The sequence below is a fragment of the Homo sapiens genome, chromosome 2, assembly GCF_000001405.40.
Source record: "Homo sapiens chromosome 2, GRCh38.p14 Primary Assembly".
Lineage (NCBI taxonomy): Eukaryota > Metazoa > Chordata > Mammalia > Primates > Hominidae > Homo > Homo sapiens.
The window spans coordinates 51,006,933-51,020,647 of record NC_000002.12 but is presented as its reverse complement, the minus strand read 5'-3'; the positions used below and the strand labels follow the sequence as shown (position 1 = coordinate 51,020,647).

General features: G+C 35.2%; 1 protein-coding gene across 19 annotated transcripts in view, besides 1 other annotated feature; it reads left to right on the top strand.

The window, feature by feature from the left end:
- The window catches only part of NRXN1 (neurexin 1), a 1,113,630-nt gene that overhangs the window by 11,485 nt on the left and 1,088,430 nt on the right, over positions 1-13,715 (top strand). The window lies entirely within an intron of this gene.
- Positions 7,147-7,703: an enhancer, noted in NCBI's record as "OCT4-NANOG hESC enhancer chr2:51240083-51240639 (GRCh37/hg19 assembly coordinates)". NCBI's record gives its function as "activates a minimal SCP1, AML or CMV promoter by ChIP-STARR-seq in naive and primed H9 embryonic stem cells {active_cell/tissue: H9 hESC(naive and primed)}" and the evidence as "EXISTENCE:reporter gene assay evidence [ECO:0000049][PMID:30033119]".

Sequence of the window (13,715 nt, the reverse complement as noted above, 5' to 3'; positions counted from 1 at the left end):
CAGCCTACTTCACAGATTGTTTGCGAGTAGATAATAGATACACACTCTTTCAAAGCTTAAAAATTTGTGGGAGATATTAAATGGTAGCAGGTAGATTGCTGTAGGACGTTGTGAATGCTAATAGTATTATAAAAATGTGAATCATATTTCTTTACATCTACTTTGGGGTCATTTTAAATGTATTTTAGATCATTTATGCCCAGAAGTATGCATCAGATTTGGTAGAGTTCTCTTATTATTATGCTTTAAAATATGGATTTTATGACAAGCTAAGTAAAGAGGACATTGTTTCCCTTATTCCGCTTGGGTAAAATTTAAACAAATAAAATAAGTGCTTTAAGGCAGCAATTATATGAGTGCATACGATATAATTCTGTTTATATGAAGTTTAAAACAGATACAACTAATCTATGATGATAGAGGTTGGGATAAAGGTACCTTTTAGTGGTCTTGACTAGAAGAGGACAAAACAATGGAGCATTGGGCATGATATGGGTGGTGGTTACATTTGTAAAGATTCACTGAACTATATACGTAAAATGTATATGCTTTACTGTATGTAAACTCTCCCTCAACTTAAAAAAAAAAACCTTTCAAATTAAAACAGAAATGCTGTTCAGTGAATACCAATGCACTGAATATACAAAAAAGCTTAGTTACAAAGTAATCCTTAATGGAAATCTATATTGAAAAATGTTGAGTATAAAAGTCAAATATTTGTAACATATATCCAAGGAGTATTCCAGAGAGCAGACCTATTTATGAATAATTTTAAAAGTAAGCAGAGAAAGTACTCTGTTTTAAACACTGTATACAGTGTTTGAATTTGAATCATTTTCCACTTTTATGTTCTTTATAATGTTTAGAAATAAAACATAGGTTCTTATTTTACACTTGCATCCACGGAGCACAAATCCTACCAACACAATCAGGCAATGTAAGTTTTCCAATTAGAACAACTCAACTGCTGGAATTGTTAAGTAATTGAATGATGAGTATTTTGTAAGAGTTCAGTAAATACTTGAATGAGTAATTGGATATTGGAAAAGGCATTACCAGGTAGTTCAACCATAACTCTCATAGTATTTTCTAAATCTGCAAATATACATGATTTTCCCCCAAAATATTATACATTAAGTTATTTCAGAAAATGGACTAGATGCCTCTCCTTAAAGGTAAGGTCATAAGCACCTCTTGAAGTTGAGAATAATTTAAAATCATTCTGTTAAAAATCACAGTAGTTTTTATTAAAATTACTATTTAGTGTTTTTCGAGTGAAAGGCATTATGCAGTGTACTTTGTCTACCTTATCTTATATAGTCTTACCATAGTCCTACTTGATAATTTTATAAAATATCGATTTTATCAGTGAGAAAACTGTGAGTTAGAAGAGATCACTTGCTAAAAGTTCAGTAGCTCGTAAATGGCAGAGCTGGGATTTGGGTCCAAGTATGCCCAATACCTTAGCAGGCAGCCCTGTCCATTGTATGACACAACTTGTATATTTCGCTTATCAAAGGGATGCTGGGCTGTTTGTTCACTAGTTTTCAGGTTGGTACTATTTTAAATGGCTGACTTATAATAAAGCATTCAGATTTGAGGGTTGTGGCAGACTCTTACATTTAGTGCTGCTTCCTACTGTCATGATAATAAAGAAAATGGAATAGCTTGTCAGAATTCATCACTCTTTGTTTTCATAACGCTTGTTTATTTGCTTCCTTTGTTAACCTTCTTTTCATATTCTACTTGATGGGTTGATTCTACTCTATCATAACCAGCAGTAAAGCCCCAAAATATTGCAACTAAATAATATTACAACAAATTTTTGTCCTTTTGATGAAAAACTTATTATTTTGGAAAACAAGCAACACAAAGTTTTCATCTCTTTCAGAGTTTGGATGATAAAATTATTGAAAATATCAACCTCTGTGGTGAGTCAGCACAAATATAAAGAACTAGCTCAGTCACATAAATAATGAGAGTTGCTGAGTTAGAGTATGGTTCTGCTGAAAATCTAGATGATGGTACAGTGGGCACTTAATTGAAATGTCGTAATGAGAAGATAGTGCCTCTTTTTGGCTAAGCGTGTTTGGCTTCCCAACACATAGCTTGAAATTGAACTTAGGAGTGGTTCTTAGAGTTGGAAAGATGAATGCCCTGTACTATTTCAGGTATATATGAGAAACTATTATTGGAAAGAAGTGGGAGGAAAATAAGTCTGACCTGGCAAGCCAAAGTGCTGACCTGGCCTCTTGTCTAGTTACTCACGCTCAAAACTGTCTGGACTGTAATTAGAAATGCACTGACACCACACTGCAGGAACAACTGCTACATCAAATAGTGCTTTCTTAGGTTGGTTCCCAGGAGGGATCTGGCAATCCAAAAGTTAAAAGCGGAGCTGCCAAGACGAACAGTTGCTTCACTAATATCCTGACATCAGAAGGGCTTTCTTCATTTAATTATAGACATAATGAATTCTGTGTGGGTTCTAATCCATGATGGAAACACAACTGATGAGAGCTTAGGAGGTACTGTTGTTTGGGACCTCGCAACACCTGGCCCGTATATGGAAACAGCTAGGCTTAAGTGTTACTCAGACATTGCTAGATTCAGCAGAATCCACAGCCCCGTCCAGCGGAGACAAGGAAATTAAAGACTCATGTTTTTTCTTCTAAGTAATGGTGTTCCTCTATAATTAAGCATGCCTGGGCTCTCCTTAGGGAAATAGCTGGCATGGCAGCATATGACTATAGTTGTTGTATGGAAGAAACCACTATACAGCTTAAGCTCTTTAACTTTGGTGAAAAATTGATTTATTTTCCAGCAAATAATGTAATTATTTATTTAAAATTATACGTGATGCTACAAATGTTAAATGTTTAATTTACTGAATTGAAAACATTCTAAATATAGGAAGTTACATATTGTATTTCACTACTCAAAAGCACAGTGAAATGTGTAAGAGTATACATTTATGAATGTCTATTTAAAAAGTTCTGCCAACTTTCTAGGAAATAAGGTAATCCCAGTGCTTTGGGAGTACAAATAGAGTCACTTGAGTCCAAGAGTACCAGACCAGGCGGGACAAAAAAGCGAGACCTCATTTCTAAAAAAAAAAAAAAAAAAAAAAAAAAAAAAAAAAAAGCCAGATGTGGTGGCCATACGTGTATTGTAGTCCCAGCTAGTCAGGAGGCTGAGGTGTGAAGATTGCTTGATCCCAGGAGTTCTAGGAGGCAGTGGGCTATTATTGTGCCACTGCACTCCAGCCTGAGCAACCGAGCAAGACCCTATCTCTTAAAAGAAAAAAAAAAAAAGAATCCCAGAAACCTCTTTTATCAGAAAAGTTAGGGAACCTATACACATATTTGCTTTTGATATTTATTTATTTTTTTAAATTATACTTTAAGTTCCGGGATACACGGGCAGAGCACGTAGGTTTGTTATATAGGTATACACGTGCCATGGTGGTTTGCTGCACCTATCAATCCGTCATCTATATTAGGTATTTCTCCTAATGATATCCCTCCCCTAGACCCCCACCCCCTGACAGGCCCCAGTGTGTGCTGTTCCCCTCCCTGTGTCCATGTGTTCTTATTATTTAACTCCCAATTATTAGTGAGATCATGCAGGGCTTGGTTTTCTGTTCCTGTGTTATTTTGCTGAGAACAATGGTTTCCAGCTTCATCCATGTCCCTGCAAAGGACATGAACTCATCCTTTTTTATGACTGCATAGTATTCCATGGTATATATGTGCCACATTTTCTTTATCCAGTCTATCATTGATGGGCATTTGGGTTGGTTTCAAGTCTTTGCAATTGTGCATAGTGCTGCAATAAACATATATGTGCATGTGTCTTTATAGTAGAATGATTTATAATCCTTTGGGTATATACCCAGTAATGAGATTGCTGGGTCAAATGGTACCTCTGTTTCTAGATCCTTGAGAAATCACCACACTGTCTTCTACAATGGCTGAACTAATTTAAACTCCCACCAAAGGTGTAAAAGCGTTTCTTTTTCTCCACATCCTCTCCAGCATCTGTTGTTTCCTGACTTTTTAATGATCGTCATTCTAACTGCTATGACATGGTATCTCATTGTGGTTTTGATTTGCATTTCTCTAATGACCAGTGATGATGAGCTATTTTTCACATATTTGTTGGCTACATATATGTCTTCTTTTGAAAAGTGTCTGTTCATATCCTTCACTCACTTCTTGATGGGGTTGTTTTGTTCTTGTAAGTTTGTTTAAGTTCCTTATAGATTCTGGATATTAGCCCTTTGTCAGATGGATAGATTTCAAAAATTTTCTCCCATTCTGCAGGTTGCCTGTCACTCTGATGGTAGTTTGTTTTGCTGTGCAGAACCTCTTTAGTTTAATTAGACCCCATATGTCAATTTTGGCTTTTGTTGCCATTGCTTTTGGTGTTTTAGTCATGAAATCTTTGCCCATGTCTGTGTCCTGAATGATATTGTCTAGGTTTTCTTCAAGGATCTTTATGGTTTATTAAATAGGGAATCCTTTCCCCATTGCTTGTTTTTGTCAGGTTTGTCAAAGATCAGATGGTTGTAGATGTGTGGCATTATTTCTGAGGTCTCTGTTCTGTTCCATTGGTCTATATATCTGTTTTGGTACCAGTACCATGCTGTTTTGTTTACTGTAGCTTTGTAGTATAGTTTGAAGTCAGGTAGCTTGATGCCTCCAGCTTTGTTCTTTTTGCTTGGGATTTTCTTGGCTGTACGGGCTCTGTTTTGGTTCCATATGAAATTTAAAGTAGTTTTTTTCAAATGGTAACTTGTAAGTTTAAAAACGTGCTCCATTTTTCAGTTAATATCATTACATATATTTTATAATATATTAGACATTCATTTTCTTTTCCTCTGTCCTGTTCACCCTTTATTTAAGTTAAAAATGGTTGGATTAAAATATGTCTTTCTTCTATCACAATGTATTTTTTGACTTCAAATGATATTTAAATATTTTTTTTTCACTTGAAGTTTATCCATTGTTATTCTATGACTCTATATATTGATTTCCTTCATAAAAGTACAGACATAGGTAGAGCTTCAGGAGTTAGAATAAATCTTCTGGGAATGGTGCTCCTCTCCTGCTGTTAGCTGGGAGCTGTTCATGTTCCCAGAGGTTCTTGGCAATAAAGAAGAATGATGGGCACCTTCCTTCTCCTCGACCCAAGACATTATCCATCCTGGACAAAATCCTTATTTGTATCCTAAACAGAGACAATAACAATTTGAACTGGAGCCAAATACACAATTCTGAGTGTCTTCTGCCCATAGGAGGTGGAGGATGGAAAGATGCTCAAGCCTCAGGGAAGCTGGGAAGCTTGAGCTGTTTGATAATTTAGAAAATGAGACAGAAGACCAGAAGAGAGGAACAGGAGATAGGAGAAAAGATGATGGGAGAGAAAAAGAGTATTTGTGATTAAAGTAAATTGAGAGAGAGAGACAGACAGACACAGAGAAGAGTTAACAGAATTTGAAACAATGAGGACATTGAGAACTGTTGGTTTAAAATTTAAAAAATCACACATCTGGTTAGTAGAAGACAGGACAGGAACATACATTGCTTGACTTCTGGCTCTGGGCTTAAGCCAAAAAGGGAAATAGGAAGGAAAAGACAAGAATAAATACGTAATTGTCTACATTTAACCTACAGAAAATATAATCATTCTTTGTCTCTAGCTGTCATTTCTGGCAGTGTATCATTGGAATTTTTCCTGCCAACTGACAACATCAACAACAATAGCAAAATCTTAAATGGCTCTCACAGTGTGTCAGGCACTATTTTCAGCTCTTTGTGCTATTAATTCATTTGGTCTACTCTACAACCCTAAAAAGTAGGTGACTTTTTTCTCATTTGATAGGTGAGAAAATTAAGGCCCAGAAAGATTTTTAAAATTTTCCCCAATTCACGCACTAGAAATTCACAAACCTGACATTTGAATCATAGCTGCGTAAATCCTGAGGCCAGACTCTTCACTTGTAATTCCTTCTTTTTTATTTATAAAATAATAACTAACTGTATATCCTCCACACCCTTTCACATAGGATAATCTCTCCTGTGTTTCAAAGAAGTCTGTATAAGCTAATGCAATGTCATATTTTTTCTCTTTTTCAAAATTCCATTTAACTGTTTAATAACTTTTCCTGAGCAGAAAATTTCTCCCTTAAGTTTAATGAATATCCTTTCTCTGCTGACATAAATTAATTTTTTTATGTCTTCAGTGGAAATAAAATCCATATGGTTAGCATCCTCTTCAATTATCTTTATCTGCCTAAGAGAAAGAGTGCTGTCTTCACTGAGCTAAAAATGTTCCAATCCTCGTTCTTTGCAACTGGTCTGACATTCAGCCTCCTTCCTCTAATAGCCCCCGCTCTGTTTATTTTACCCACTATCACTTCAGCTGGCTAATGCTCTTCCAAAGGCTAGTTCCAAAAATGTGTTACAGTCATCCTGGTCTGTTCATCCCAGCAGCAGCATCACTGCACTTTCAGTGACCCCCTCACCTTCCCTGTTGCCTTTGTCTGACTTGCTAATTTCCCATCATGCCTTGGAAATTGCATGGACAAGAACTTCATAAAATTCTTGATAGGTTTTTGTTATCTAGTGGCTTAAAAAATGTCTCTCACTAGTGTCTGTAGATCAGGCAGTCCAGAATTGTATAAAGGGAAAAATCTTGATAGCATTGCATTTGTAAGCAGGAAAAGTAGGACAGAAAAATATGAGCTGACAAACAGAAAAAAGAATTTGGACTAAGGAAAACTGGCAGTGGTAGTCTGGTCCACAGAGGACTAAACAATGGAAATGGATTTGAACAAAATTGTGCTGGTTTAGGCCGAAGGAAAGAGAAAACAGCATTCACTTGTAATTCTAGTATAAATGTGAGAACAGGTCAGCAGAAGTGGTGGGTGAATCTGTATCACTAGAGATCCTTAGTAGCTTAAATAGACAACTGCTAGTTTTAAATTGCTTAAGGTTCCTCTTTTTCTGGTCAGCAGCCTGGACTAAGTAACATTTGAAATATATTTTCAGTTCTGTAGTTATGTAAATAATTGGACTTTTCTGAAAGCCTTTTAACGTGCAAATCTCCCAAGTCCTGAGTTGGAAAAAGCCCAAAACAAATACTCTCCCCTCCCCCTACAAAACCTAATTTCTGCCAAAAAAAAAAAACAACTCTATTTCAAGAGTGTCTGAAGTTATAATTCACAGATACATTTGCATAAAATATGTCACCAACTGTTACAGAACACTTGGCCCATGAATTACTTCCCCCAGTGACTTGACTTGCTGTTGTTGCACATTGGTGTCCCTGGAATACACTCTGGGCAGGCTCTCCACCCACATGCTTATGTTTGCCCTGAGCCAGCTGCCCTTGTCCTCTTTACACAGTGGATTGCCCCAGTTTCATGTTTCCTTAAACGTTGTTGAGCTGGTTGAGCTCGAGTTACAGCCGCTGCCTGTATTGCAGACTCACCTTGCACTTCCTCTTGTTTGCTTTGCCATCTCCAGGGTATCCTCCCAGTACTGACTCTACCTCCACCAGGTGTGATGTTCTTGCCCTGCTGCATAACCACAGAATATTCGAGTGGTGTCTCTTACATCTCAGTCCGTTTATATCCTATGTAATTGTTCTTCCTCTGTGAAATACAGCTTTGGGTGAAAGGGTCTTTGGTAGTACTGGTATGAATTGTTCCTGGAGGAGGATGAGATTAGAGGGCAGAAAAATAGTTTTGGGTTAAAAACAAAACAAAGAAAACAAAAACCAGAGAAAAAAAATTATAGTACTCACAAAATGAAAAACATGCATTTCTGGGTATTCTGTCATGTTTTTGGTTTCCCAGGAAAGCCAGTTACACAAACCAGAAATCTAGCCTCATCTTTGACCCCTCTGTTGTTTTTCTCCATTCATAATTCCTGAACCACATATTAAGAAGCCATCACACAGGAGGAGGTGAGATGTTAGGTCTTAGGCAGTGTTCACCTCTGTGCTCTCAAGCCCTTGAGGACTAAACGTTTGACAGCACAAATAAAGGGCTTGAAACCTAAATACAAGTCTAAACAATTCAGGCATCCAAATACGAATAAAACTCACTATTAATTATAGTATATGAAGATCTGTAATAAGGTACACATGTGTGCTACTGGTGATATTGTTAATGATATCCTCAGTTGAAGCAAAAATTAGCAGGTTTACTTTTTGAAAATGCAAGTCCAATGGTATACCTAAAAGAGTGAAAAACATATGGCTCCTTTTACAAATTATAGTTAATGGATTGCTTCACACTCTTAATTAAGTCACCATCATTTCAAATTACTGTAATCACTGGATTCTTCCATATCAAAATAAAACAGTTTGCACTAAGGCATTAGAATGTTATAGAGGCTAAGTTTTTTTAAAAAAAGACTTTAGATTAATAAATACTGAGTTTGTTGCAGCATAAAATGTGAACACAAGGAAAGTGAGGAAACCTGAAAGTTTATTTTTTGGTGAAACAACGTTTTGGTCAACTACAGGTCTAAGAGTTGGAAAGCGTCACATTTTAGTGGGGTGGGCTGGTAGACAACATGCATGATTTCATTACAATGCAATAAATGCTGCCACAGAGATGAATATCCAGTGTGACTAGTTGTAGAAAGATGAAAGGATTAATCACATGCTTTCTGTGACCAAGTTCTCTTGATTCTATTGATATTATGCTATTTTAGGCTCTCATACTCCCTCATCAGGATTGCTGCTATAGTCTACTTACCACTTTCCCAATCTCAGGCATTGCTCCTTTTGTCCCCTTTCAAAGCCATTTGTCTCTACTACTGGAGTGATCCTTTATAAATAGTACTGCTCCTTTGGCTGAAAGATAAAATACAGATTCTCAAGAATGGCAGGCAAGCACTTGTATATAAATTGGTCTCCTTATCCAGACTCATTTCTTACCATTTTCTTTCAACAGAAACTTTGTGATCTAAGCCAGTCATTATTTATATTCTGAATAATAATTGTGTTCACATGTCTTGGGGTTCTTTCTAGTGTTACTCTCTCTGGACCTAGTGCCTTCCATTGAATCTCTACTGAGTGAAATTTCACCCATCATTTAAAACCCATCTGTAAGGTCTCCTTCTCTGTGAAATCATCCCTGATACCCTCTTCCTGCTCACCCCTGGTTCTCCAGCAGGGACAATGCTGGCTTTGTGTAGACCCTTATTCTTATGCTGAACACATTTTATTATAGTAATTTATCATCCCATCTGATTTCTTCACTTGATTCTAAGTCCCCAGGGGAGCACTTACACCTTTTATATACGTAAGAGCTACCAGAGTCTGGCCCACTGTAGGAGTTCAATAAACGTTAGTGGGTCTCACTGCAAGATATTAAGAAGAGAATATTGTCGGTAATGGTCAAACAAAACAAGTAGGCAATTTCTTAAAAGAGAATATCAAATAGCTAGTAAATGTATAAAAAGAAGCTTGACCTCAATAATAAGTAAAGACGTGAATTAAAATGAAGTATATGATTTATTGTTTAGCTTGTTGAAAATATTAAAAAGCGCCATCAGGCTGGGCAGGGTGGCTCATTCCTGTAATCTCAGCACTTTGGGAGGCTGAAGTGAGAGAATTGTTTGAGGCCAGGAGTTTGAGACCAGCCCAGGCAAAAAGCGCGATACAAAAACATTTTTAAAAATTAGCCAGATGTTGTGGCATACACCTGTAGTTCCTGCTATTTTTGAGGCTGAGGTAGATTGCTTGAGGCTGGGAGTTAGAGGTTGCAGTGAACTGTGATTGTGCCACTGTCCTCTAGCCTGGGTGGCAAAGCAAGACCAAAAAAAAAAAAAGCACAGAAAAGACCATCATACCCAGTTTTGGCCGAAAGGTGTGGCAACGTAGACACTCTTATGCTCTTGTGCATCTTTGGATGGAGTGTGTATTATTATAGTTCTTTTGAGAGGCAGTTTAACAGTAACTATGAAAATGTAAATGTGTATTTCCTTTAACAGTTTCATCTCTAGGAACTTTGGTTTTAAACAGAAATACCTGAACAAGCCTCACAAATATATTAGCACTGGTACTCATTGCATGTTGTCTGTAATAGTGAAAACAAGTAAATGGAGTCAAATCCAAATGTTTATTAACATGGATTTGATTAAATAAATTATGGTAGAGCTGTGTATAATGACTCACAATATAACATGAATGAGGTGTGTTTTGTGAACTGGTATGGAAGTTTGTTAAAAATACGTTTAGCGAGTATAAATAAATGTCAAATACATACACATATATGCAAAATAGAATTTATATACTTATTTATGTATAAAAAGGCACATAACCTGTAAAGACCAGGTGTTTTGCTGTTTTCAGTGAAGAGGGTAAAGAAAAAACATATTTAAATTGTTGAAGGATAAATATTTATAAGTGCAAGAGCAGATTATCAAAGGAAGTTGGTGACTCTCCATCTTGAGGGATTATCTATGAGATGTTTGAAATGTCAAACCAATAGTCCATTTCAGAAGATGAGACCCATTATATGACTTTCCAGGGATTTATGTTATCCTTGGTTGAACATTCTGTCTTAAACGTAGTAGAATGTTTATATTGTCAGAAGAGAATACCACAGTAACCTTGCAGAATATATTCTGAACACACACTGTAAAAGAGAGAAATATAGGATTTAAAGTTTGTATAATTCTAAGGATTTTTTTTTTAACTTGGTCTCGTGTGTCAGATTGAATAATTCTCCTGGTAATGAAGTAATGAATGAAGGGATCCTAACAAGATGCAGGGTCCAGAACCAGATGTAACGTTTCTCCTCAGCAGAGTGATTTGTGTTAATGTTTTATTTACACTTTTTCCGGTTGTTATCCATCTCTGTCACCATAGAAGAGATATGGCTGAATAGGCCAGTGTTGTGTCTCAAATTGGTTTCATAGTAAGGTATATTATCATTCTTTCAATGCCTCCTTTCGCTAATGAAAATCCTAGAAACATCTGAGAAGTTCCAAATGACTCACAACTTTCCTGCTCTACTTCATACACATGTATGTTATCAATAATTACTTAGTAGACTCTTTAATTTGTCTAAATTTGTGCAGGCATAATGGAACTTGACAATGCAATTTTCCATTGCAAATGGATGACTAAGCTGAGCAATTTGCCTCCTTCCCATTCCTTTTGTCCCGATATATTATGCTACACTAGAATGCCTATACTTTGAAAATAGCCCGTCTATATTCATTCATCGATGCATATAAATTGATTTGCATGCTCATTTTGCAGTTTCCAAATATGCATTTGTTGCATAAAATTTTTCATATCTAACCCAAAATGCTTATTTTACCCCTTCTTCAAAAATGCAGCTGGTGTGAGCCAACTACACATAAACTCCAGGTGTTTCACAACTGAATATCTATAGAGAAATGCAGAAAGCATGGAGATGAAAGGCTTGAATCTTGCCATTGGTCTGAAGTCCCAACTCAGATCTTCCTCTTCTGGATCAGCTCCTTGAAATTAGGGCAATATTGGAGTTAAGTAACAAGAGTTTATTCAGACTATCCATGTTATATGCCAACTCATGATTTATGTGGAAACTAAAGATATTTAGTAGAATAGTACATTGCTGGGTTCTAATTTTTGCCTTTCCACAAATTAGTTATACTTTGTTTTCATTGACTCTACAGCTCAGATTTTTGTTTCATTTACTGTATGTCTCAGATTTTTCCAGTTTAAGAAAAAATTGCCTAAAACTAAAAAAAAATGTGATTTGTCCTACCAAATAACCTTAATATTATCACGAAATTAAAAGCAGTCTATAAAAAATAGAAGTATATGACTACAAGTTTTATAAAAACATTCCAAGAAAACATTTGTGGCTATTAATTTGTAAATTATAAATTTATATTTATATATATTTACAAAGAGCTAAAATGTTATGTTAGGAAATTATTATATTGATGCTTTTAGTATCTTTGAGTATATTTTATACACAATTAAAATGATGTATTATAAGAAATACAATTAATAAATACGTTTTCAAGATGCCCTGTATAGATAGTAATGGGCAAGAGAGGAAAGGAATTGATGTGTAATGATTGTATGCCATACCCTGCAGTGATCAACTTTGTGATTATTATCTCACTTAATTCTCAAAAACACAAACCAAATTTAATTATTTTCATTTTGTATTTAGGAAAACAAATTCCTGGAAAAATCTAAATAGCAAGGAGAAAATTTGAACCCAAGCTTTATTTGTCTCTACACGTCATGCTTTCTCATCTGCCTTCACCATCGCCACTCACAGCTTCAGAATAGCTCAGGCAGGTTCTATGGAGTCATATACACAAAGGATCAAAAGTAAACCCCTTCTTTTTAGATAGTATAATAGCATTTGAGCTACTCTCTGACTCTCTTCTTTGTTTGATTTGGAGCACTGCTTGGGTTTAATTGATTTGACATTTGTATTTTTCTTTATAACTGATCTCTTTTATTTATGTGTGAATGTATTTCCCAACCAAATGATACATTGCCAGCAACAATCAAAGAGCAACCTCTAGATATAGTTTCCAGAATTTTATAGGAAGACTGTAGGCAAATCTCAGCATACAAAACAGGTTTATTGTTTTCTACTATTATTTTCTTTATTTGATTATTTGTGTGCTTCTCGTTTATTTATTTTCCTTCTATTCTGTGCAAGATTAATTTTTCTTTCCACTGTTATTTCCTTTCTTAGGATTTTATCACTTTATGACTTTTTCATCATATTTTGGCTTTTTGATAATAAAATATTCAAACAATATACCTAAGATGAAAACTTTTGAAATGAAGGGAATATTCCAGATAATTATTTGCTGTTGTCTACAGACTGTTACTCTATGTATTTGTCCACAATTTAGCTAAATATCTTTGGTGATAATATTTTATCTCAGGATTTACTCAGTTTAAGAAAGAAACATTCATGTAAAAGTGCATCCCATAAAAATGTGTATTTAACCTGTCTAACTCTTTTATCCTTTATCAAAAACTATCCAATCAATAATTTCTCAAATCTGCTTCATTTAAAAATAGAAAAATAATATATAAAACACACACACACAAAAGGTAAAAGTACGTTTTGATGTGTATAATGGTTATGTGCTTATTATGCACAATTTTCCTAAACCCCTAACACTTCGAGTAACTTATGTTAACATTGTTTTCATAAGTAACTCATAAGGAAAGTATGTAAATAGTTTCTATATTGTATCACCAAAATTTTGTAAATAATTCAGAAATTGTCATAGGCACACATATTTTTAACCCTCTTAGATTTCAGGACTTCCAAATAAGTATTGTATCAATTTTTCTTTGGACAATAATTTTTTTTGAATACCCTTTCTGTATTTCAGAAATGGTTCAGAAAATGCTCATTAATCTTCTGATAATTATCTGAAAAACATGTCCAATTGCATATGGAAACAAAGTAATTTGTTACAAAATAGAATTTTGAAATAAAAAGAGACGAAGAGTTATAGCTCATTATAGTATCTAATGTTGTAATTTATGCACTAGAGAAAAATGTTTAACATTTATGACTTTTAAGTAATACGTAAAGTCATTGAGCTTAGGCACTGGGGTTATGTTTGTCATCAGATAGGCAGGTCACTGCTCTATTGGTGTTCATAGATTATAGGTGAATATAGACATTTAGAAGGTCAGCCACGATACAG